The 25690-nt window shown below is 38.0% G+C and overlaps 1 long non-coding RNA gene across 2 annotated transcripts, besides 2 other annotated features; it reads right to left on the bottom strand.

Moving 5' to 3' along the window:
• Nucleotides 421-1675: an enhancer, noted in NCBI's record as "VISTA enhancer hs712". NCBI's record gives its function as "enhancer in: midbrain (mesencephalon)[8/8]" and the evidence as "EXISTENCE:transgenic organism evidence [ECO:0001131][PMID:17130149]".
• Nucleotides 2723-3441: an enhancer, noted in NCBI's record as "OCT4-NANOG hESC enhancer chr4:84702313-84703031 (GRCh37/hg19 assembly coordinates)". NCBI's record gives its function as "activates a minimal SCP1, AML or CMV promoter by ChIP-STARR-seq in primed H9 embryonic stem cells {active_cell/tissue: H9 hESC(primed)}" and the evidence as "EXISTENCE:reporter gene assay evidence [ECO:0000049][PMID:30033119]".
• Nucleotides 17999-24695, bottom strand: LOC105377315 (uncharacterized). 2 transcript variants are annotated; one of them, XR_938946.3, is made up of 3 exons: nt 24656-24695; nt 24312-24351; nt 17999-18179 (listed from the first exon to the last, which is right to left on the bottom strand). It is a non-coding gene; the product is annotated as an uncharacterized LOC105377315 (long non-coding RNA). The 2 variants fall into 2 exon arrangements; XR_007058455.1 differs by having other exon boundaries at nt 24312-24671.
• Between the last annotated feature and the right edge of the window lie 995 nt (nt 24696-25690).

The raw sequence follows: 25690 nt of genomic DNA on the forward strand, positions 1-25690 counted from the left end.
TTGAATGTATGGTTACTGGTACCCATGGCAAAACTTAGTGCATTTATGCTCACGGGACAGTCCAGTACTTCTCATAAAGTACTTGGGAATTAGAATCACCTGGAGAGTTTCTCAAAAGTATAAAGTCTAGATTCCACTTGAGACCAATAGGAAAGAATCTTTAGGAGTGGAGGCTCCATTTTAGCATTCTTAAAAATCTTTCCAAGTCATATACTGCCATATATTATGTCTGTGAGTGCATATAGCTATTAAAAGACTTTGAAAGTCTTTAAAAGCTACCAAAGACTTAAAAAATACATTTGAGGGCAAATCATCTAATTAAATATTACATAGTCATATGCAAAATGCATCCCAGAATTGGAGAGAAACAACATGTGGGTTTTATTTTGCATTTCATGCTTCATGCACCATCGCTGTGTTGTAGTACAGGGGCCTTTGGAAGCTTGTGACTGTTAACATATTATTCCAGCTTGATAAAATGTTGGGGGAAAGAGGTCTCTTCTCTCCTGAAGATGAGAGAGTGGCTTGAAGAAGGCATTGGGGATAGCTGCTATTTTTCTTCAGGTGTTTGATCTGACTGACGGCCCCCGTCTGAACTTCCTAGTCATTTGCCATTTCATTAGCTGCAAGGTTTTCAATTTCTGCCTCTTGGAAGTTACACCGCTTTGAACAAGTCCCCACAGTAATTGAATTTGCCACAGAAATAGAACACTGGAAAATTTCATTTTCTTCTTCCCTGCATGAAGGCAAGCAAGCAGGCAGGGCATACACATATTCCTGCTGGAATGCTCCTCTCTTCTTTCCTGGCTCCATTTCCCCTCCCTTCCCCCCATGCATTCACTAATGCTCACTCCTGTCCTGCTCCCAAGGCAGGTATACAGTCACACAAAAAAGGCCTGCTTTCAAATCATCTCAGAGTGCATCAGCCTGTCACTTTGTAATTTTCTTCTAAATGCCTTCCACAAATAATGGTTTTCAAAATGAGCATTAACAGGCTTGATTACATGAAATTGTCCTTTTAATTTACACCAGGATTCTATTGATCACACAAGTGCAGATTAAAGTGTTCAATGAAGCCCGTGATGAGGTATTAACCAGCTAAGGGTCCTCCAGGGGCCGCCAGGGAGGCCAGGAATATGCTAGAAGTGTACAGTTATTTCCCCATAATGAAGTGGCACTATGCGAAGGCATGAATCGCTGGCAGGAAGAATAGATCGGAGATGATGAGCTCTTCAAAGTCATTTCTCCCTCACTCATTCAGCCTCATGCCCAGATCCTCTTGCGATTCTTCTGCATTACTTGTCATGAAATGCCAGGATTTACTTAGCCAGCTGATGCAATTTTTATGACCTTATTGCTTTTTCACCATGGTAATAGTTTTGAATCAATTTATCAATCCAGCGGTGCCATCAGACATATTGCCCTGAAGATCAAGTCCGGGTCATTCCATCAATTCACTGCGGTTTACGAAGATAGAGAAAAAAGCCAGGCCGTGTGGGCTATCAACTTCAAATGGCTTAGTAAACATGCCTCGGCTGCTTTAACTGCTTCACTTCTGACTCCAGACCTTTGTGTTTCTGGACAAGACCACCCAAATCAACCCAACAGATGCTTGATTTTGGTACACCCAGCTCCATAGCAAAGAGGCCTGGTTAGTGCAAGAAGCATCTCTGGCAATTTCCCAAGCAGAATGGTTGGGGCAGAACTTGGAAGTGTGGCTTAGTCTTGCACACTAAGTAGACTGTGGTACGCTACGCAAGTTCCAAAGCTTTTGTCTAACCAGCCCGAGAGCTTAGCAGTTGGGGTGGGAAAAGGAAGCAGAGTGTGAGGTGGGCTCCTTTAGTAATAGGTTTTGCAGCAGGGTTGGGATTCATAATCCAATCCATCTTCTGTCTACAGGGACTGCTGGTCAGTGATAATGGTTTCAAAAGATGAAAAACCTGTAAGTCATTTTTCACAGGATGAGGTGTCACTGAGGGCAGGACACAAAGAAAGAAGAGCACACTTATTGGAAGAGATGATCTTTTAGGAAAAGAATGAACATTCCTTGCCCAAGGGAGAAAGAGAAGGGGTGTGGCAGGTGTCAATCTGGCCATCCAGTTAGATTGCTGGTGTTTGCACAAATAAAACACTAGGTGTCTCTTGGGAATTCAGTTTTGTTATTACGTTGGCTGTATTCAGAGAATCCTGTTATTTGTATATTCTTTGTATTTATGCATCATGTCAAAATTTGAAATCCTATACCTTAAATTCTGGTAATTTGTTTGCAAAAAAAGGTGACAATGAATTTAAATATTATTTAAAAATGTATTGTTTGCAAGACCTTAATAGAGATTAAATGTATACTATCAGCTTTGTGCTTTGCTGGGAAGCTGCTATATTCAGCATTTAAAATGAGATTTGTCAGATCCCAAGCTTATGTCGATTCTATAAAAGTTTAATGATCTACTTCCAGGTCTAGCAGCATTTAGGATTTATTTACAGTCTTTATTATAAAATTTGTCCAAAATATACACATTCCCCAAAGACTTCTGAGCTTAGCAGCAGAAATATAAATGCACCAAAATGAAATATAGCAGATGGTAAAACCTCTGTTTGCTAGTCATTTTTTCTTCTTTAATCTTCTTTTTTTCTCATTTTCCATTTCTTCTCTATTTGGTAAATACTGAAGGAGGCAAGAGAGGCTGTTTTGTTCCTAGTGAAGCATTTAAGGGAGGCTGTTAAATAAGTTGAATAACATAAGAAAAGATCATCAATATGTAGTCCTTTTCCTTCCATTGTCCTGGATATTTAGCAAAGTAGAAGCTGGAAATCAGCATAAGAAACTAGGAATCATGAAATCAAGTAATGTGTGGGAGGAAACTTAGAGATTATCCAAGGCAATTTCCTTATTTTACAGTTGAGAAAGCAGCAACTTTCTACTGGAAACTTAGAGTTGGATGGTTGTACCTATAATCTAATTACAAAACTCAAGCAACTCAGCATACTTTACTACTCAGCCTCTGTGTTGTAGTTGCCTAAACACCTTGCCTCAAAATTCCTTGACTTCCTCAAGTTAAGGAACCAGTAATGGTTATATCCATTTCCACCATCCTCTAAACATGGCAATGTTTTAGAACTCATTGTCAGTTAAATGAGGGGTTATTAAACATTAAAGTGTCTCCACAGGATCTGGAGTGCTAAGAAACACAGACTCCTACACTCACTCCCCAGAGGTTCTTTTGTAAATCCATAGCGGGGCTCAGTAATCTGCAGTTTAGTAAATACTCAAGCTGATTCCAATGCAGAAGTTGCAAGGTTCCCATGGTTTTGAATGCTGACTTTGCCATAATTTATTATATGATCTAGAACAAGTGACTAGATGTCCTTAAGCCTCAATTAAGTCTGTACAATGGGCCTAAGAATATCTGTCTTATAGGATTGCTATGTCAATTTGTTTGAATTATTATATGAAAAGCACATAGAAGGCATTATTAGCCTGTAATCCCAGCACTTTGGAAGGCCGAGGCAGGCGGATCACGATGTCAGGAGTTGAGAGCAGCCTGAACAACATGGTGAAACCCTGTCTCTACTAAAAATACAAAAATTAGCCGGGCATGATGGTGTGCATGCCTGTAATCCCAGCTACTCAGCTGAGGCAGAAGAATCACTTGAATCACTTGAACCTGGGAGGCGGAGGTTGCAGTGAGCCGAGATTGCACCATTGCACTCCAGCCTGGGTGACAGGGTGAGACTCCGTCTCAAAAAAAAAAAAAAAAGAAGGCATTTCTAAGCAGTATCCTTACTGCTCTGTGTCCAGACAAAATAATACTATATGACAATGAAAAAGCTTAACATCTGCATTTAAATTAAATGTGAAATTATTATACAAAAACTAAGATAAATCAGTAGTGTTTTCAGTAAAATATTTCAGTATCCTTTGGTGGAGTAAAGCAATTTATGGATTAATATGAAACAATCATTCTTTCACTTTTTAATAGATCAGTAACTTTTTAGTATATCAGAATTTTAATAATAAATGACACATTTATAGAGTCGTTAGGTCCCAAATGGGGGGCTAGAATGGGGGAATCTAACCTAGCAGCTCAGCCACATGTTCATCCCTCTTCTTCCAATCCCAATTATTCTTACACTAAAACATCCCTCATGTCAACACATTTACTGTGACTTCATCCTCTACCCTCTTCTTCTCAATGATTCACAGAGAAGTTTCCCTTACTCTTTTCCTCCCTTCCTCCTTTCTTGGCTACCTAACATTTGTGTAGCCCAGTGATAGGCACATAGAGTTATTTGTCTGAGGGTTGTGATTGACTAACGCTGCAGGAATTTAGATGAGGTAGAGATTACCGCGGACTGGAGTGGTTAGGGAAGACGTTTTGGAGTTAGTGGGAATTGATGTTTTCTGAGGCATGGAGGGAGGAGAAGCAGGGCATGGCCCTTTGTTTAGGCATGTGGGCGTGGACAGAGGACTCGTGGAGATAAGATTGAAAAGGTACATTGGAGATGGTTGGGAAAGGTCCTGCTTAGCTAGAGATAAAAAAGAACAATAGGTTAGAAAATAGTGTTCTCTAAAGGAATGGTTTTCAAACACTGTTTAATAAAACTCTTGGGTACAAGCACTTCAGACATTCTGAATGGAATTTTATTTTAAAATCTATTTGAATCATTACAAAAACCTGTAACATAAAGTACACACCCAAATTTGGTATTTGCCACCTTATAACACAATAAATATCACTTCTATATTCTCTCTTGTGACACCAATTTACTAATTTAGTTCAGGCCTAGGATATAACTTCTGCTGTTATTTTGTCTGTATTCTGAAAGTGATATGAACTTGCTAAGATAGTGTGGTAGTCTACTTTGCATTGCTATAAAGGAATAGCTGAGGCTGGGTAATCTATAAGGAAAAGAGGTTTATTTGACTCATGGCTCTGCAGGCCATACTAGCATGGCACCAGTATCTGCTTGGCTCCTGATGAGGCCTTAAGAAGCTTTTACTCATGGCAGAGGGCCAAAGGGGAGTAGGCATGTCACATGGTGAGACAAGGAGAAAGAGAGAGACAGGGGAGGTGCCACGCTCTTTTTAACAATCAGATCTTGTGGCAGCTAATGGAGTGAGAACTCCTTCATTACTGCAAGGAGGGCACCATGCATTCATAAGGGATCTGCCCCCATGACCCAAACACCTCCCATTTGTTCCCACCTCCAACATTGGGGTCACATTTCAACATGAGATTTGGAAGGGACAAATATACAAACTACAACAGAGAGCTAATATAAAATGTATGCCTTTTGCAGCTTCTGATCAGTGTGAATCAGCATTTTTGTTCTCAGTGAAGTGCAACAAATAAATTCAGATGCTGAATTTGATAAGACTACAGCTGTCACTTGACTCCTCCAATTTAAAGTTTTCATGCAATTTTCTTTTTGATACACTTAGACCTTTCTATTTCAGTGCTTTGGGCAGGAGCCATCCATGAAAGAGCAAAATGAAATTCTGCTGGTAAAAAAATGTTGAAAGCCATAGTCCAAGGCCACCTAGTCTCTACTGAATCTTAAAGAATGGAGTCAGGTGTATGGAATATTTCAAAGGTTTATTTGTATGGCACTTTTAGCAGTGAAATTACACATCGATAGCTGGAAAGATTGGATAGTTTGTGAGGGATTGGAGGCAAATAAAACAGAGCCACAGAAAGTATGTGAAAAACAACTAACTGCTTCACATACCATGAATGGACATAGGTCTGGACAAGAATAATGGTGATAAAAATAAGGGAGAGAGAAGTTAAATAATTATTACAAAATAATAACTGGTAATTCATGGTGCTTCCAGGAATTTTGAGAGATTGAGGAAGAAAGGATAGGAAACAAGAGATGCCCAGATTTTGAAAAGGATTTTTAGAAGAACAGGAATAGAGAAGTAGGAGGAGTCAGGTTTGAAAAGACATGGATATGTTTAATATGTTTAATTTTACTACCCAAAGTTACATGCTTAGGGAATATATCCAAGTGGACTTGCTCACTGGGCAGATGTGGACATATAAAGAAGCTTTAGAGAGAGTGAGGTCTGAAGTAGTGAGGGTAGATGAGATCTTTGAAAGTCAGTGACAAGAAGATGTTGGGCTTTGGAGGACAGTGACGATGCTGAGGAGCAGAATCACAAAAGGAGATGTAGAGAAGTCCAAGAAGAAGGAGAGCCAGGAAAGAAGTTGAGTGCCAAAGTGTGGTATAGGAACAAACCAAATCAAGGAATGAGTCAAAGTCCAGCCAACGGAGCTTCTTTTGATGTGTCTTCTTAAAAAATACAGTCTGTGGCTCTGTTCACAGGGTGAACGATAAACACCCGTGTTCCATTTTCCTCCCTCAGCCCTCTCTCCAGTTGTCAGTGGAAATTGTTACTGTTTCTGAGGTCCATTTTGTTGACTGTACTCTCCTTAGGGTAAGAAAATAATCTAGAAATGACTGAGACAAGGCTGACTGATATATTAGGACACTTTATAGGCCTCTTGATGCCATTGGTACCATGAAGCAGGCAATTCACATCTCAAACCCAGCTCTGAGGAGGAAATTCTGATAGGGTTTACATAGACCATGCTTTTCTCCATATCGCACTTTCAGTCTTTGCCTCCATTATCCTAACAACCCACACCTTGTAACTAGCAATGTTAGTAGGAAACACATGTGAGGGAAGCTTGCAAACCCAACCTCAGCATCCATTTGGAGAGTGATTTTAGGTTTTCTGTGGTGCTCATATTATATCTTGATTTGTTTCAGACATTCTGGAAAAATATTCAGGTAGACCCAAGCATTCTTATTTTTATTGTTTAAATCTTTGCCTGTGTTCATCTTCACTTCACATTACTGGACAAGATAAATAACAAAATGTCTAAACTGGACACATCCTACAATATGGACAAATGAATGAAGACTGTTAAGAGATTATAAAATCACTCTTTGAGAGATAAGGAGAAAGGTCTACATAGGTTGGGTCTGCTGTCTTTTTGACTGAATACCTAGCAGAGCTTTTCCTAATTTCTTTTGAGTATTGTCCTTTTTTAAACCCCCCAAATACCATGGCATTTGCTCCAGCTGACTGTGGCCCAACACTAGATTTCCAGAAGAGATGTCCAAGGATGGACATGGTGCCAAAAGGAATGTTTGTCATGGGCTTTAAACATAGCCCATATAGAGCCATATGGAAACATATCATTTACAGAAAGAAAACTGGAAGTTAGGGAAGGTACCTACAAAAAGCTAAAAATAGTAACACTATAATTGGACATTTATTGAGTAGTTACTATGTGCCAGGCATTCTGGTAATCTTTTTATCAAAACAGGGTCTATGGGCTAATTATTATTCCCATTTTACAGGTGGGAAAACCGAAACGTGGGACCTTTAACAGACATGTCCAAAGTCACGCAGCAGGTAATTAAGTGAAGGCAGGATTTGAATTCACTTCTGCCTGACTTCAAAATTTATAATCTTAACTTTTCTACTAAAAAACCTCTAAATGGAAGTAGAAAAGCCCACAACAGCATGTGTTGATGGAATATTCTGAGGGTCATAGAACTGAAATTGTTTGTTGTTGCACAATTTCAACCAGCCATGAAACCCTGGCTTATCTACAAAACTTACATCTGCTAAGAGTAAAACCTTCTTTCTTTTCACTATAATGAGCTCAAAAGTAATAGCTTTTCCAGTCACGACACTTGCAATTTGGCTGGAAGATGTGAATAGTCCTTTCTGGACTACAAGCCCAACAGCTGTTCACATTTATACAGTAGGTTAAAATTTATATTTAAAAAATAGTGGCTCATAAAGAAAGAATATGGAACAATGACAACTGCAAAAAAGAGATAATTGTATTCATGAAACATGAACTGGTGAGTGATACATTTTTTTAAGCAAAACGTGTTGCAGCATTAAATAACGGTGTCTTTAATTAATTCTGCCTAACATTAAAAGAATAAGGTCACTCATACCAAAAAATTGTTGAATAAAGCAAAAATGTGTGAAAGATATACTCTCTGATGTTACTCATAATGAAGAAGGGTTATCTACTGGTCAATCTACCACCATTATTTCTTAGTTAGAGGTATTACAGTTGAAAATAGACAATGGTTATAACAACCTAATGTGATTAACACATAAAATGTACTTTATTGGAGAGAAATTATCCAATCATAACTCAGTTTCTAGAGAGCAAAAGCAGTCCCTTTGACAAGGAATTTTTAGCGAGAGCTAAAGGGCCACCCACAGAGTGCCCATGCTTGTTGACTTTGCCTGTAAACAGATTAATAAGTGCTTTAGGTTTGCAAAGGCCTTCCATACACATTCTGGAGCTAACAAACACCCCATTTGGCAGACGAGAAAATTAAGATGCTCCAGGGCAGTGCAAGTAGACTAGATTTGAGTTCACATCATCAGCCTGGATCCTCTGCCAACAACTCCTCTCTTCTCTCTACCATAGTTTCTAGAAATATTTGGGGACTCTTTTCAATGAATTGTATGCAAAAGCACATTGTATAAGTTGTACATGGGGATAGGTTTGAGGGTAGGCAAGAGGTAACCTCACTTCAAGTTCTCTGTGGAGTTGATTAATAAAAGATGGTGACATTTGAATGCCCAGAGAAGGCTAAAACGTTCATGTGCCTGGGAACTGATAGTTGTAAAATAATTTTTAACATTTCTTTAGAGAGAAGCTGAGCCCTGAGCATATGTGGAAAGACAGAGGGGACTGCTGGTGGCTTCTCTAACTGCTGTAGCCTGGCTGGTCACTTGACTTTGAGACCTTGGAAGGAAGTGTAGGCCCGTCTCATGTCCCAAGGACAAGGATGCCCTGTGGAGGGTTTAATCAGCATTTCTTCCAAGGACATAAAATATTCTTCCCGAGAAGAGTTGTACTAAGTTCATTATTTCCTCTTTGTCATATCTCCACAAATGTCTCTGATACCCCAGTGATAATTCAATACATCTTATAGGATGTTACCCTGTACAATTACTCCACTAGTCCATTCTTTAGTCAAGCATGAGATGTGATAGATTTTTTTTTTCATTTGGTGGTGGTTGTTCTCAAAATAAAAACGATTAGCCAAGAAGTATTTATTCATGCTTGTTATGGGCATAAGACTCTCCTGGGGTTACAGAAAGTACTCTTGTTCTCAAGAAGTTTATAACTCAGGGAAGATATAACTAATATATATGAAACTATCAAGTGAGATTTCACTAGTGAACTACTTCACATCATGAGAGTCTAGAGAAGGAGGTAGTATTTAAGCTATATTTTAAAATGCGGCTAGAATCTTGTGAGGAAGAACTGGGGAAGGATGGAGAATAAACTATTCCAGGTAAGGAGAATAGGAACAAAATTTTGTGAATTGGAGTGAATATTGTTCATGAAAGAGACAGCAAAGAGCTGACTTGGAAGATAGGTATTGAGGGAGAGTGAAAAATAAAGAGTAACCTAATATAATCAAACGTGAAACCCAAGAAGGGGGATTTATTTGATCTGTTAGAAAAGAGAGATTAATCACAATTGACTTGAAAGGGGAATAGAAGAACTTTAAAAGGATGAGTCTGGCATGATATTCATGATGGCCATTTATGATGAGACATGGGGGTGGGAGCTGGGGAGTGGAAGGAAGTATTGTCTTGGGAATGGGAAAAAGTGGTGAGGAGCCTGTTAAAAGAATCCAGGCAAATATCTAGTGAAGCTAGTGATAGGAAAGGGGAGTGGAAAAAAGGCAAATTTAATAGGTTTGTCAAAGGCAAATAGGTAAACATGAAGAGAAAGGGAGAGAGAGATGAAAGATATTAGCCAAAAAATAGTAGAAATTAAAGTGTCAAGGCTTATGAAGTATTAAGTCTTAATTGATGTAAGAAAACAACTTTATGTCAAGTTTTAGAAAGCAAGTAACATACATTGATTAATAAAAGGTCTGGTGCAAATGCCTTCTTTAAAAAGCCGTTCTAACCTATTTACAATAATCGAGTCTTCAATGAAATGATCGATTAAAAACCCCTCTTTCTTTTGAGTTCTCATCACTCTTTTAAAATGATTCGATTATAATTACATGATCAGGAGGCATGTCTTATTCTTTCATGATGCCCAGTGATTATCACAGTACCTGGTGTATAGTAAGCATTTTATAAGGGCTTGTGAATGAAGGAAATAGCAAACTGTGATGTTCAGATCACAGATAAAGAAATTCCTCATTAACATTGATAGGACCAAAATTATATTACTGAAAGGAAATAATTTTATAGTTCAAATTCTTCTTGTTGCAGATGAGAAAACTGAGAAAATATAGTGCAACATTTTCTAACATTTTTGGTAAGTGGTATACCAGCCCCTGCTTAAACACTTTTAGTGGAGAAGAAACTTACTAAATTTTTGGACAGGTTAACCGTTATCCATTTCTTCTTGTGCTGAGTGCAAATACTACTTATTAACTACTCATCAGTATTAAAAATGTCCAATGGCAAATGGATCAATTTCTCTTTTTATTTAAACATAGTTATCATGAACTCGCAATACCCACTCTTTTCTTTTTTATCTTCATTCTTGCAACTCTTCTTCATGTTTACTGCATTTGAGATTCCAGTCATTCTGGTGTGCTCCTCTCTAGGTGAATTCTTGGTAAATGATGTCTACTTTCAAGGGTGGCAATGTTAAACACATTACTTCTGGTCTGATTTTGGTAATAATCAGCATTAAAATAAGTTTAAAATATAAACTTATTTTAATGAACAGTTTTTCTTAATGTATACTAATGCTTTGTTTACATTTTTTGTTAACTTATATTGAGTTTATAGTCAATACAACTGATTCTTTTTCTCATGGGCTGAGATTTGTACAATAGTTTTTCACTATTGGATTTCATCTAATTATATGTTGCTCATTCTGTTTAGATGCAGTGATTTCAAATCATAACCCTGTCATTCAACATCCTACTTTTTCTCTCTATATTCCAACTCTGAAACTTTGAAAACTTGATATGCATGATATATACAACCCTACATAAATAGTACTGTCATTCTACAAAATATAAACTATATATACAACTAATAGCCAATATTTATCTATATTTCTTGCAAAAATTGCATGAAATGCTTTGTCAAATGCATTGGTTTAACCAAAATAATCTTTTTTGTAGTAGATGTTCCAAAAGACACTGGTCCTAGGAAAGAGGCTGGGTAGGCCAGGTGCTGTGTAATCCCAGCAATTTGGGAGGCTGAGCAGGGCAGATAACTTGAGGTCAGGAGTTTGAGACCAGCCTGGCCGACATGGTGAAACCCCGTCTCCACTAAAAATACAAAAATTAGCCAGGCCTGGTGGCACATGCCTGTAATACCAGCTATCTGGGTGGCTGAGGCATGAGAATTGCTTGAATCTGGGAGGCAGAGGTTGCAGTGAGTCAAGATCATGCCACTGCACTGCAGCCTGGGTAAAGAGCCAGACTCTGTCTCAAAAAAAAAAAAAAAAAGCATCTGGGAAAAACTCCATATTAAATCCATCCAAGAGGCCAATACGTATTATCTTATTAAAGAATCCAAGAATACCTAACAAATAAATCAGTTTAATTTTGTTAAAGTCAGAAACTCCCAAAGTTATTTAACATGGTATACTTTGTTCTCACAATAGCTATTAATGTCTGATAGAACTAGTGTTCTGTGTAAGAGGTTTGGAAGATGCTAATATACAAACTCCTCACAATTAAAATTAAAATGAAATTTGTCTGGAATGGGTTGCTATTCATAAACTCATGTTGACTCTTAACAATCATGTTTCCTCTTTATGTGCTCACAAACTGATGTCTCCAACAAACAATAATAAGTTCTAAAATTTGGCTGAAGTTGACTTCAAGCTTATAGATTTACAGCAGAGTTTCAGCTCTGGCTTTGCATCAGAATTACCCGTGAAAAGTTTTAAGAAATCTAGATGCTTGCATTTCAGCCTTGGAGCTCATGATTCCATAGAGCGGGGTGGGGCCAGAGACACACAGGCAGAGTTGTTAACTCCTGATGTATGGTTTGGGGCACCTGCTGCCCTTCCCTTTTTGAAAGTTGAGATATCATACTTTCCTCACCATCCAGCACTGTGCCTATTTTCCACACAGTTTCTCAGAGGCCTCTAATAATGGCTGACAGAAACTTGAGCACATTTAGAACAAGGCTGTCTGTTGTTCTCGCCATTTGTCATGGCCTTCAATTCTCTCATTCCAATATTTGCTCTACTTTTCCCAATCAATTATTCTCCTTGACATAGAAGATAAAAGCAAAATAAAAATTGAGTAACTCTGCTTTCTGTTTGTCATCAGTCAATATTATTACATTGATGCTAAAAATCATATCTATGCCTTCCAAAACTAAAACAGCCTCTTTGTCTTCTATGACATACTTGAAAATTCTCAGTACATTCTGGGATTTTGCTTCTTGAATTATTATTCACTCTTCTCACATATTCCCACGTGTCCATCTTTCCTTCAATATTATATACATACACGGATGTAATGATTTTTGACGTGAAATTTTATATTGGTATCATGAAAGAAGCATTATAATAGTTTATGTTCCTAATTAACACTACCAGAAAGCGTTTCTTAAGAACTCCTTGTTTGCTCATTCATCTATCATTGTGGCGTCATGCTTCATGCCCTCTTCAGGAAGAATAGGAGAAAGAAAAACAAGAAAAAGAGAATGGATCCCAGATACATTGGCCATGTGCAGCTTAGGAAAAGGTAATTTGCTTTAAAGTCACTGTTATTGGCAACCACACAAACATAGTAGAATAGAGTATGTGGTTTTTTTTTTTTTTTTTTCATCTATCAAACACATCCCCTCATTGCCTTCAATCAAGGTCAGAAGTCGTTAACCTGTATTCCAAGAACTTTTGAGTTGTGGCCCTTGTTCCTATACCTTTCATTCATTTCCTATTTCATTCTCTCTCCACCCGTGCTCTTCACATACTTTCACTAGGTGTCTGAATAATTCTTTCTTGTCCTTCAAACAGCAACCTAGACATCATTTCCTATGTGAAGACCGCCCTTATACCAAAGCAGACGTTGCTCCCTTGTGTTCCTATGGCAGTAGATCCTTTCCTGTCCCTTTCATTCATAATCTGTTTTCTTGCCTTTTCCTCTCATTGGAACATTAAGGCTTGTGTGTCATTCATTGCTGTACTTTAATGTACCCAGCACAGCTCTTTATACTGTACCTAATAAATACATGTTGAATGAATGACAGAAGAAAACAGGGCACTTCTCCCTGCATCTTGATCCTCCTGATAAAATACAGTTTTGGTTTTATCAGCGAGTTTGAGCCAGGAAATCTGTGGAAGAAAAAGCTTTCTTTAAGCATCTGTAGCAAAAATGCAAACTGATGTTTTCAGTCCTCTAGCTGCAGATAATATGAAAGACAGGAAGTATATTTTGTGTGTGTGTGTGTGTGTGTGTGTGTGTGTGTGTGTGTGTTTTCCGGTTTTCAGCTGGAGCTGGCAGTGCAAAGACTTTCAGAAAATAATTTTTCTATTTGTAAACTGAAGGAATGTGATATGGAAGTAAATGAGGAAGAATAAATATGGAGTGACACAGTATGGTTTTATAGTCACTTTTGGGGAGATGACTGTACTGTAGAAAAGGATGGTGATACATAAGGGGCTAAAATGATTAATTATTTTCCTCACATAATAATTCAGGATCATGTGATAATGGTTCTGGATCCATTCTATACATTAAACTGTGAAATCCGTTCACTGCAGTTTTCTGAATTTTTTGTTTAGTTTATCTGAGTTTTCCTTCTGGCGTATTGAGGAACTCATGTGGTGTAGTTACCTTTCATAAGGGAACAGTGCTTGATTCTGCCACCAGAAATAAACTGGATTCAGATATAGTTTGGAATAAAAATGCACAGTACTTTTCTAATTATGCATATTTAATATTAGAACTTATATAAAAACATGAAATCTTGAGAACTGTTATTCACAAAATATGAATTTATACCCCATTTAGGTTACTACAAATCTGAGGACCTAAGTATTTTTGAGATTTATCTTAAGCTTGATCCATTTAATTTCTAATAATAAATACAAAGTAATCTCTTCATCTAGGCCACTTACCATGAAACAAGCTGCTCTATCCAGGAATGCTCACTGCCATCTACAATGTTGGGAATTATGAGCTCAGTTTCTAGGACTGGGGCCCTGTTCCCCCACCTCTGTGACCCAGATCCAGCTCAGGGACTGGAACAGAGATGAGCTCAGTAAATGCTTATTTCCTAAGTCAATGAAGTCTGTTCAGTATTTGTGCATCACAACGAATTCTTGCTGGGGTTATCGTGGTCTCTCATATCTAGGGTCCCATTTGACTTCCACCCTAACAATAAAACACAGGTTATGTTTCTAATAGCCTTTTTTACAGTACAGTACAGTACAGTCTTAGTCTCTCAGGTTGCTAGACCAAAATACCATAAACTGGTGACTTAAGCAACAAACATGGACTTCTTCATAGTTCAGGAGGTTGGGAAGTCCAAGATCAAGGCTCTGGAAGATTCAGTGTGTGGTGAGGGCCTGCTTCCTGGCTCATAGACAGCAGTCTTTTCACCGTGTCCTCACATGGTGGAGAGAAGGAGCAAGCTCTCTCAGGACTCTTATGAGGACACTAATCCCCTTCATGAAGGCTCTTTCCTCATGATCTCATTTAATCCTAACTACTTCCCAAAGACCCTACTTCTAGTATCATCATATTAGGGGGTGGGGTTTTAATATATGAACTATAGGGGGACACAAACATTCCATCCATAACAGGAGTTATGTCCCAGGATCTTCCTCATTCTCTGGCTTCTCTTGGGGGTACTATGTCTATCTCTGTGATCACTGGGTTCAACATGCTTAGAGAGATCCAATCCCTTTGGGAATTGAGAGAGCAAATTTCATAAGGTTTCCTGGATGGCTCAAAAGCTAAATCATGCTTCCAAGTACAGCCCTTCTTTGGTCACTTAGGTCCTTCTCCACACTCACCTTTCGTTCGACCTTTGTTCCTTTCTCATGCCTTTGACATGGCTTCTGCTTTCTCTGTGAAAGCAGAGGGGGTATGTTCTTCTCTTGCCCATTTTATTGGACTTAGGATATTCTTGTGGGCTTTATTCCTCTCCCATGTACCTCCGATGAAGCATCTCCATGCTTGTATTGCCCTCTCCCTTCTTAATTTCTTCTTTCTTGGGCTCCATATCTTTCCTTCTGTTTCATCAGCTCCACCTGTCACTGCATCCATCAGCTCCCTCAATGCTCTCTTCTTACAGTCATGCAATCCCCTTTAATGTCAACATCTAGTTGCTAGTACTTCCACTGTAGAATATTAAGTTGCGTTGTAGTCCTTTTAAAACACCATTGATAGTTTTACAATATAATATACACTTGCCTTTAAAAATCAATGTTCATATATTTTATCTATCTTCAAAAAATACTTTACAAATTCCCATTTATATTTGGCCATATGTAGTTGTGATGTTTTTTCTAGTCTAAGTTAGCTCCTCCTAATGCATCATTATTTTGGAAAGTGGGCAATTTATTACATTTTCTTTGGAAAAGGTCACACTAAGAGGAATCTCTTTGAAGTGGATAGTCCGGGTTTTTGTTTTTGTTTTTTAAGTTATACAGGTTGTGAAATAATATCTGCTGAGTCTCAATAAAATTTTCTGAGATTAACTAATATTCTAAATTAGTGTCTGGAGTGCTTTATATGTGGGTTGAAGAGAAGAGACCATTGAAATCTTGGTTGGTACAAGGATTTATGGATGTATAAGACACAGGGAGTTTATCACTGCCGCTAGATCTGAGGTGGATGCTTTCGGAAGCAGGATTTCTGGCCAAAAGCTACATCACATACCCTGGCAAATATGCTTCCTTATTTTGTCTTCTGATTCTTCAGTCCAAATGAATCCAAATTAATTGCGTTTTTATTGATTTTATTCATTGGCTTAGCAGGGTCATCAGAAAGGGATCATTTTTGTCTTCATTTTGAGATGTGTCCCAAGGCCACTTGTAAAATCAAAGGCACCAGATTAGTGGTGTTCAAGATATCACTGTAAAGTCTTGAGTAGTAAACAGGGATTTAGGGAAAAGCTGCAGCTGGAGGAAAGGTATGCTCGCACTGCTGCTTCCTCCTTTAGGACAGTCTCAGATTGACATTGGCCTGGTTTAGCTTCTGATTCATTTTCTCCTCCTAAAAGATGTGTGAATAAATTTGATACCTCAAACTACCTAAGATGATTCAGACTTTCTCAGGCTTCCTATATTTTCTTTCTCTTATCCTTATTGGAACAAGTAATAGAAATGATAACAAGTAAAGGTTTTAAGACATGTTACATAGAGAGTTAATGAATATTAGATAAGGCATTGAGAGTAAAAGTAGGTAAGCTAAGAGGAAAAGACCAGAGAATGCCCGTAGCACTCCAAGGAAGGTGGGGTGAAGATCAGGCTGGTGAATGACTGGAGAGTAAAGTTCAAGATGGTAGCTGGGAGACAACAGAGGCCAGAGAAAGCTCCCCTTGTTGCTTTGAAGGAATGAAATGATGAAAACAAAAGGGAGCTTGCTCCCATGCTTGTAAATTAGAGAGAGAGAGAGAGAGAGAGAGAGAGAGAGAGAGAGAGAGAGAGAGAGAGAGACACAGAGACAGAGACAGAGAGAAAGAGGGAAAGCAAGCGCATCAGGATGTCAATGCCCAGAAAAAATGTGTCAGAATTTCAGAATTACAAGTATTTACCACCATCCCCCTTTTATTAAGTACACCAAGTAGGAACTGACACTTTTTTTCCCCTTTACTTCAAGTAAAGGTAGAAGGTGGAGAACAGTAAAAGGGTCAGCAAAGGTATTCAGAATAGTGTCATCTAACTCTGTGACCATTTAGCTAGCATCTCAGTTGTTACAGAGTCTGCCTTACTATTGAGGTTGGCATCCTCAGGAGCAGATACTGAGATGAGGATTTGTGTGACTACTGGGAAATGGTCCCAGGGAGAACTATTCAGGGGACTGGGAACTGAGCAGAAAGGAAGGAGGTTAAGCGAGAGTAGCAAGCCAAGTTCTACAGAAGGAATCCCTCAGGAGCCCTGTGAAGCCAACGTTGGTCATAACTCAGAATGGTCCAGTTAGGGACAACGGGGCTGCAGTATTCATATGTCTACAGCCATGGTTCTCAACCTGGCAGGATTCACCCTCCAGGGAACATTTGATGATATGTGGAAACGTTTTTGGTTGTCACACTAGGGGAAGTGTGATACCCCAGCGGGAGAAGTCAAGGACGCTGCTGAAAATTCTACAAATCCTACAACACACTGGATAGTCTCCTCCTTCCCCAATAAATAACTATCTGTCCCCAAGTGTCAATAGTGCCGAGGTTGAGAAATCCTGGTTTACACATCTGCCATTGGTTCAGGGGTACTGTCAGAATGTACACTCAGGGTCCCCTAAAATATTTCTGGTGGTTTGAGGGCAGCAGGTACTGGCTTTTGGGAGTGAAAATCCGCCTAATATCTGTGAGCATGGAAATGGTAAAGAAACCTGAGAGTGCATGGGGGAGCATTGACAGAATCCTGCAATTCACTGACGCATTTACTTTGAAGCAACATCTGTCATTGCCAATCTCACAACCTTCTCAATCTCAACAGTTATCTGGGTTAATATCTATCGGAACTGCAAACACTTTCTTGATCTATTTTATTCTGTGCCCAGAAAACCAAAAAACAAAGCAATCTCATTTGGTTGCATACATCACTTGCACTACCTCCCTCAATGCCACAGCGAAATGTTTTTTGACATTCTCTTTCTGACTTAAATAATGAGCTGCATTTTCACTCATCTTTTGCTCTGAGACCAGGCTAATATCTCCTAAAAGTATTCTAAATTTATACTCAGTGGCTTTCTAAGGTCATTTAAATTCCTAATGAAAAGTCACTCAAGGCCACAGTACAAAATAAATACATTGTTATTGATCATGCAATAAGGTATTAGGCTAATTTAATAGGGCTTCTCCCTGAGATGTACTTAATTCACCAATATTGTCATTTCTCAGCCATCATGGATCCTGCTGGTTTTTCATGGCCTAGAAGTAGTCATCATCTCTACTCCATGTTGCCACCTGGATATTCCAGGATGCCTCATCTCTGTTAAACTTCTTCTCCCTGTCGGCAAAGTACAGTGACAGAATAAGGATTCATTACTCTTGAAATGACCCTTTCCACAACATCCTCTTTTTATCTCCTTAATCAGCAAAGTGGTACTCTGAGGACTGGCAGGTTCACTGCCTAGAGACACATTTATTACCAAGACACAAGCTGAATAATTGTGTATTTACCAACTTCAATTTAACCTCACAACTTGGCTGTCTTCACGACAAGGTGAGCAATAAGACAAAATTGCCCCTCTCCCTGTAGCTCATCAATAACTATTCCTTCTCAGCCAAAACTACTATTTTCATTGCCACCCTTGCATACACGAGTTGATGTACTTTATCATGTAGTTATATATATGTGTGTGTATGTGTGTGTGTGTGTATATAGATATATACACACACATTTCTGGTGGTTTGAAGTCAGCAGGTACTGGCTGTTGGGATACACACACACACACACACACACATATAATTTTATTTATTTTATTTTTTTGAGATGGGTCTCACTCTGTTGCCCAGGCTGGAGTGCAGTGGTGTGATCTTGGCTCACTGCAACCTCCGGTTCCTGGGTTCAAGTGATTCTCCTGCCTCAGCCTCCCGAGTAGCTGGGATTACCGGTGCCCGCCACTGCTCCTGGCTAATTTTTGTATTTTTAGTGGAGATGGGGTTTCACCATGTTGGCCAGGCTGGTCTTGAACTCCCAACCCCAGGTGATCCGCCTGCCTCGGCCTCCCAAAGTCCTGGGATTACAGGCATGAGCCACCGTGCCTGGCCATATCATGTAGTTTTTAATCTTCAAAAGAAAGAGTTTCTGTTGCCTTGCTCAAATCTTTCAGTCTTAACTGAAAATGAGACAAGGAAAGGCAGCATTTTTTTTTCTTTCCAGGAAAATGCATGTCAGTGTGCAAAGGAAGAAGGAATTCATTTCTTTTTAGAGAAGAGATGGCTAACTACATGCCTAGGTAAATATTTTGTTTGTGTTATATGAAATATACACAAAAATTATAGTAAAAATCTGATACTAAAAATCATGTATGCTCAAAACCTAGCAATTCCTAAGGAAATAATGGAAGTGTGCAAAGACACAACTGTAAGTGCATTTATTGCACTATTACTTTCAAATGAAAAAAATTTTAAATAACCAAAATGTCCATTAGTATATAATCATAGCTCATCCAGTGAAATTGAATATATCTGTTAAAAGGATAAAGTAAACTTATTGATATTGACATGGAGAAGTGTCTATGATATATTAGAAAAGAGAGTTTTTAAAAATGAGATGGATTTATGTACCTTGACACAAAATGAGATCCACTATATATCATTAAAAGAAAAGAGCAAGTTGCAAACTAATATGTACAGCATGTTCCTCTATTATAAATATATACATATATGTATCTATCTATATATATAGTGTGTATAACTATATCTGTACAAACACAGAAAATTTCTGTAAGATTTGACATGAAAACTTTTAAAAGGGGTTAATCAGACCTTAGAGTTGGAGGGCAGATTACAGGCAATTTTATTTTATTACGCTTTAGAAATACATACATATACATAATGCCTAAGCCAAGTGGTGCATAAAAACAACTGTAATTATTTTTTAACAATACTTGCCAGCAGAAAATCAGATATCAAATACATAAATTAACTGTGTAAATTGGGTTTTAATTGAAAAAATTTTAAATGTACATAAGTTGTCAAAATATGTTAGGAGGATGGATACAGGATTTAATAAATGTACTGAATTCTACAATTTCTTTTTTAAGAAATCTAGGCATCACTAGAATTTAGATGTGTTGTACTATTAAAGGAGACATTTGGTTTGCTTAGCATGATGAAATAATGATAGCTAATGCCTACTCAGTGTTTAGTATGAGCTAGGTAGGCTCTGTTCTAGGTGCTATGTCAGACCAGCTAGGTCAGAGCAACCCTATGAAGTGGGTTCTATTTTATCCCCATTTTACAGCTGAGCAAACTGACACACAGTGAGGTTAACTTGCTGAATAAATAAGGAGAGTCAGGATTTGAATCTGAGCAGCCTGGTTTAAGTGTAAGTTTAAGTTTACCTGGATGATTCACTACATGATTGCAAAATCCAGAATATTTAAAGTAAAACTCAATGTGACAGGTCATCTAGCACCTGTGATGGCACCAAGACCAGATTGGAGCATCACTGCAAACCCTCCTGCTTCAGCCACCACTAGACAAGCAGAGCGAAAGCTTCAATTAGAAATTCAAAATGTCAAAAGACAATGTTTATATACGGTAAACACTATCACCTACTAATGCTTCAGACTTGGTTTTAGGAAAATCTGTCATTTTTTTTTTTTAATTTGACCAGAGTCTTTAGCAGCACAGAAGGTAATTAAGATTTAGAAAGATTGGAATAGAGCCTTCCAGTAAGTAGGAGGAGTTGAACCAGGAGAACTCTGGATATATCACCCTTAATCAGTATTCTTCTATGTTACCAGCAACCCTAGACTGATGGAGACTTTTTTTTTTTGTATGAATTCAGTTTAACATCAAAGTTCTAAAAGATGCATAGAATTCTGTGGCCAGCCCTTCAGGCTTAAATGCTCTGATCAGAGACAAAGGAGGCGCCTTTCCTCTCATGGAGTCAGGAGAGGCACCACCATCTTTTTCTTTTTGGGAAGGGCAGCACAAACATACCTCTGAAAAGGCTTTTATACTTCCCTGCTGTGAAGAGAATTTTTGTAAGTCTAAAGCTTGTGGGGGCAGACTACACAAAACACAATTTTTCTCCACACTTCTGTTCTAAGCTGCCAGGAAGACTTAATAAAAACCTGTAGGTGGTAATATGAACTGAATTGAAAAAGGAGCTGAAAGACAGTTTATCTCTGATTAACCATGTGATGGTCCTCAACATTCAGGAATATCACACTAGGGTTTATTTTGCACTTCAACCAACATGGGTATCTCTGAATTTCATCTTTTGATGAATATAATTGATAAAATTTAGTGAAAGCAAAGAATGAGAAAGCCAACAAGGCTTCTTGTTGTTTAAGCCATCCCATTCTGTAGCATTTGGTGCCTCCATATATACAGGTGCCTCCTGTAATTTGGTGCAAATTACAGAATAATTTGGTGCCTCCTATGGATTGACTGTGCCCCTCATTCTCTGAACTATATATGTTGAAGTTCTAATGCCTGATGTGATAGTGTTTGAAGATGGGGCCTTTGGAAGGTACGTAGGTGTAGATGAAGTCATGGGTGTGGGGCCCACATGATGAGATTAGTGCCTTTACAAGAAGAGACGCCAGAGATATTGCTCTTTTCTCTGTTTCCGTCTGCACACACTGAGGGAAGGCCATATAAGGACACAGAGGGTGGCTGTCTGCGACCCAAGGATCTGTGAGCATAACCCATAACCTGAGCCTGCTAGCCCCTTGATCTTGGACTTCCAGACTCCAGAACTGTGAGAAATAAATTCTTGTTGTTTAAGCCACACAATCAGTGACTTTGTTTGTTTGTTTGTTTGTTTTTTTGAGACAGGGTCTCAATCTGTCACCCAGGCTGGAGTGCAGTGGAACGATTATGGCTTATTGAAGTCTTGACCTCCCAGGGCAGGCTTAAGTAATCCTCCTGCCTCAGTCTTCCAAGTTGCTGGGACTACAGGCATGTGCCACCTCGCCCGGCTAATTATTTTTTTGGTAGAGTCAGGGCCTCATTATATTGGTCAAGCTGGTCTTGAACTCCTGGATTCAAGTGCTTCTCCCACCTTGGCCTCCCAAAGTGCTGGGATTACAGGCAGGAACCACAGTGCCTGGCCCATGACAATTTTTTATGGCAGTTTGAGCTAAGATGGTGTCTTGATCATTTAGCCATATTTCTGTCTACTGAATACAGTTTTAACCAATATCTTCTTGTTTATGCTAAAAAGGTTTTATTTTGTGTTCCAATAGACCAATTGGAGAACCTGCCCTGTATTGGTAGTATCAATAGGACTATATATTTGTGACCCAGTATGGAAGGGTTTTAGATAGACAGTCATTATGACAATTGTTTATGACCTTGGCTCTCATTGCATATATAACCTCCACTCATAAAGTGTACTTATCCTTCACCTGCACATTACTTTAAATATCTCAACTTATATTTTTTTCTTCTTTTAATTTTATTTTGATTTGATTTTAGATTCAGGAGGTACATGTGCAGGTTTGTTACATGGATATAGTTTGTGGTGCTAAGGTTTGGGCTTCTATTGAACCCATCACCCAAATAGTGAACATAGCACACAATAGATATTTTTTCAACCTCTGCCCCATCCCTTTTTTCCCCATTTTTGGAGTCTGTAGTGTCTACTGTTCCCATCTCTGTTTGTGTGTACCCAATGTTTAGCTCCTACGTATAAGTGAGAATATGTGGTATTTGTTTTTCTGTTTTTGTGTTAATTTGCTTAGGATAATGGCCTTCAGCTGCATCTATGTGGCTGCAAAGGACATAATTTTATTCTTTTTTTATGGCTTTATAGTATTCCATCATATATATGTATCACAATTTCTTTAACCCATTGTCAATGGGCATCGAGGTTGATTCTATGTCTTTGCTATGCACATTCACAATTACATCTTAATTTTCAATCTTAAGTTTGTCTATAATTTGACATATGTGACTCACAGTTGTCTAGAAAACAGGGACTTGTTTTTGATAAAAACTTAGCAACACTGAAAAGCTGTTCTCAGAAGAAATTCATAGACTTAATTAATTTTATTAATAGAGAATGAAAAACAAAGTAACTTTGTACTTGCAACATAAAGTAAAAACCAAAGTAAGTGGGGAGAAGATAAAAGATGAACCAAAAAACAAAACAAATGCACAAAAACCAAGAAAAAAGAAACAAATTCAAAAACCTGATTGTTCTGAAAAGGCCAATGAAACTGATAAACATTTTTCAGAATGTTTAGGGATAAAAGAGGGTAAGTGGGCATTTACAATGTCATGAACAACAGAGGTGGCATGAATAGATATACAGAAGCATTTGAAAATGTTATAAGAGAGTACTACACTCAATTCTATGACAATAGGTCCAAAAAGTGTAGATACTTCCTAACAAAATGCAAATCACAAAAACTGATTCAACAAGAAGTGGAACACTCTAATTGTCTGATCAATGTAGAAGGGTAAAGATCTATCATTGAAAAAAGTGCCAGAACAAGATGGGTTCTGGCTGAGTTATATCTGACTCTAATGAATAGATAAGACCTGTGTTATTTAACTTACTCGAAGCTATAGAAAATATTGATAAGCCCAATGAAATGTATTCTTTATAAAGCCATTTTTTAAAATACCAAAATCTGATATAAAGAATATGAAAGATGATTGTAGACTAATCTTCTGTAAAAATCTAGAAGATAAACTTCTAAATAAAATGTAAATAAGAATTTTGTGTTAATTTCTAGAGTGCAAGAATGGTTCAGTATGAGAAAAATCCAATATATATTACATTAATCCATAAAATAAGAGAAAATCTTATAGTGACAAAAATTTGATGCAATTAAGTACTGATTCTTAATAAAGACACTGATTAAAATAAGAATACTAGGAAACTACCTAAATATAACAAAGACTATTTACTTTTAAAAAGAAACTGTTATTCTAAACACTAAAACCACTTCAATTAAAATTAGCAGCTATACAGAGAAATTGGCTATTACTCTTACACAATATAATCCTGGAGGGTAAAGGTAATGTGGTAAGAGAAAAATAATGAAATAGTTTATGTAAACAATAAAAATAGATTGAATTAATCTTTTTGTTAATATAATTGTAACCCAGAAAATCTAAGAAACTCTAGGAAAATTGCCTTCTTGAATTAATAAGATAGTTTCATAAGTTGATTTGATATAAAATAGAATTACAAAAATCAATAGCTTTTCTCTATGCCAAAAATTAAAACCAAAAAGGAGAAATGAGAAAAATATTTTCTTCACAATAGTAACACAAACAAGAAAATATTGGGGGAATAAATTTAGCAAGTAGGGCCAGGATCTACATTAAATGGACCATAAAGAAATCATAGGAACAGTAAGATGGCAGAATAGCAGCTTTCTATTATCATCCCTCCCAACCCGTTACAGAAGCATTGATTTTGAGAACTACTCATAGACAACAGTACCTTGATGGGACTCCAGGAACCTAGTGGATGAGTTCCAGCACTTTGTTAGAGCAAAAAATTTAAGAATAGGCACATCAAAGAGGGTAAGAAAATTTCATTTTACCCATGTTGGTCCTCCCCCAGGCAGCACTGCTCAGTGCCAAGAGATAACCCCTCGAACCATGTTTTCTCCCATGGGGGAAAGTGAGAGTGTAGTAAGTGAGTGCCTGGTTCCCTCAGTTGTGTGGAATCTGGCACAGGAGGCCTATTTCTTTCCATCACACCTAGAATTCTGAGGTAGTTGGCACAGCTGAGTGGTTGAGAGAGGCCAGGAATAGAAAAGAGAGGTTACAGACTCTACTAACTGCTTTGTGGACTCCATTAGGAAGCCTGCCCATGAGCTGCTTGGGATACCTGGCCTGAAGACCCCTCCCAACTGGTCTGTGAGCATCACAAACACTCTGCACACCTCACCATTGCCCTTCTCAAAGTGGACTCCACGAGAGCAACCTGTGGACAGCAAGTACAAGCATCTTGCACAGAAAACTGGCTTGACACTGCAGGAGAAGGCACACAAACTTGAGGATTTAAGGCATCACCTTAGGTAAAATAAACAGGAGATGGTCAGCACCTGGCCTGGCTTTGCAAGATTGAGAAGCACACAATCTTAAGAATTCTCCTCACCTTCAAGATGGAAAAAGAGGTGTTGAATGAGTGCATCCATTGAAAGGGTTTGAGGGCCTCAGAATCTCTACCTGGGATAACTAGTGAAGGCATTTCTCTCCCAAAGCCAGTCAGTAAGGACTGTAGAAGGACTGCTTCTTCAAATGTGAAAGCAGCAACACAAAGCATTAAGACCCATAAAAAATAAGAAAACATGACACCACCAAAGGAACATAATGATTTCCCTAAAGAAACAGAGACCTATAAATTACCTAACAAAGAATTTATATTGTTCACCAACACACATTAAAATCAAACTGTCAAAAGTTAAGGACCAGGGGAGAATTTTGAAAGCAGCAAGAGAAAAAAGCTCATCCCATACAAGGAAACCCCTTGATAAGCCTTCATGAAGCTACCAGTGGATTTCTCACTAGAAGCAATCTACAAATTTCAGTGTAATCTCTATCAAAATTTAAATGGTAATTTTCATAGAAGTAGAAAAAATAGTCCTAAAATTATTTCAGAACCACAAAAGACCCAAACTAGCTAAAGCAATCTTGAATAGAAGAACAAAACTGAAGATATCACATTTTCTCATATCAAGTTATATTATAAACCTATAGTAATCAAAATAATATGGTACTGGAATAAATATAGTTGTATAGAATAGAACAGAATAGAAAACTCAGAAAGAAACCAGTGCATTTATGGTCAACTAATCTTTGACAAAGGTGCCA

The sequence above is a fragment of the Homo sapiens genome, chromosome 4 (genome assembly GCF_000001405.40).
Source record: "Homo sapiens chromosome 4, GRCh38.p14 Primary Assembly".
NCBI lineage: Eukaryota > Metazoa > Chordata > Mammalia > Primates > Hominidae > Homo > Homo sapiens.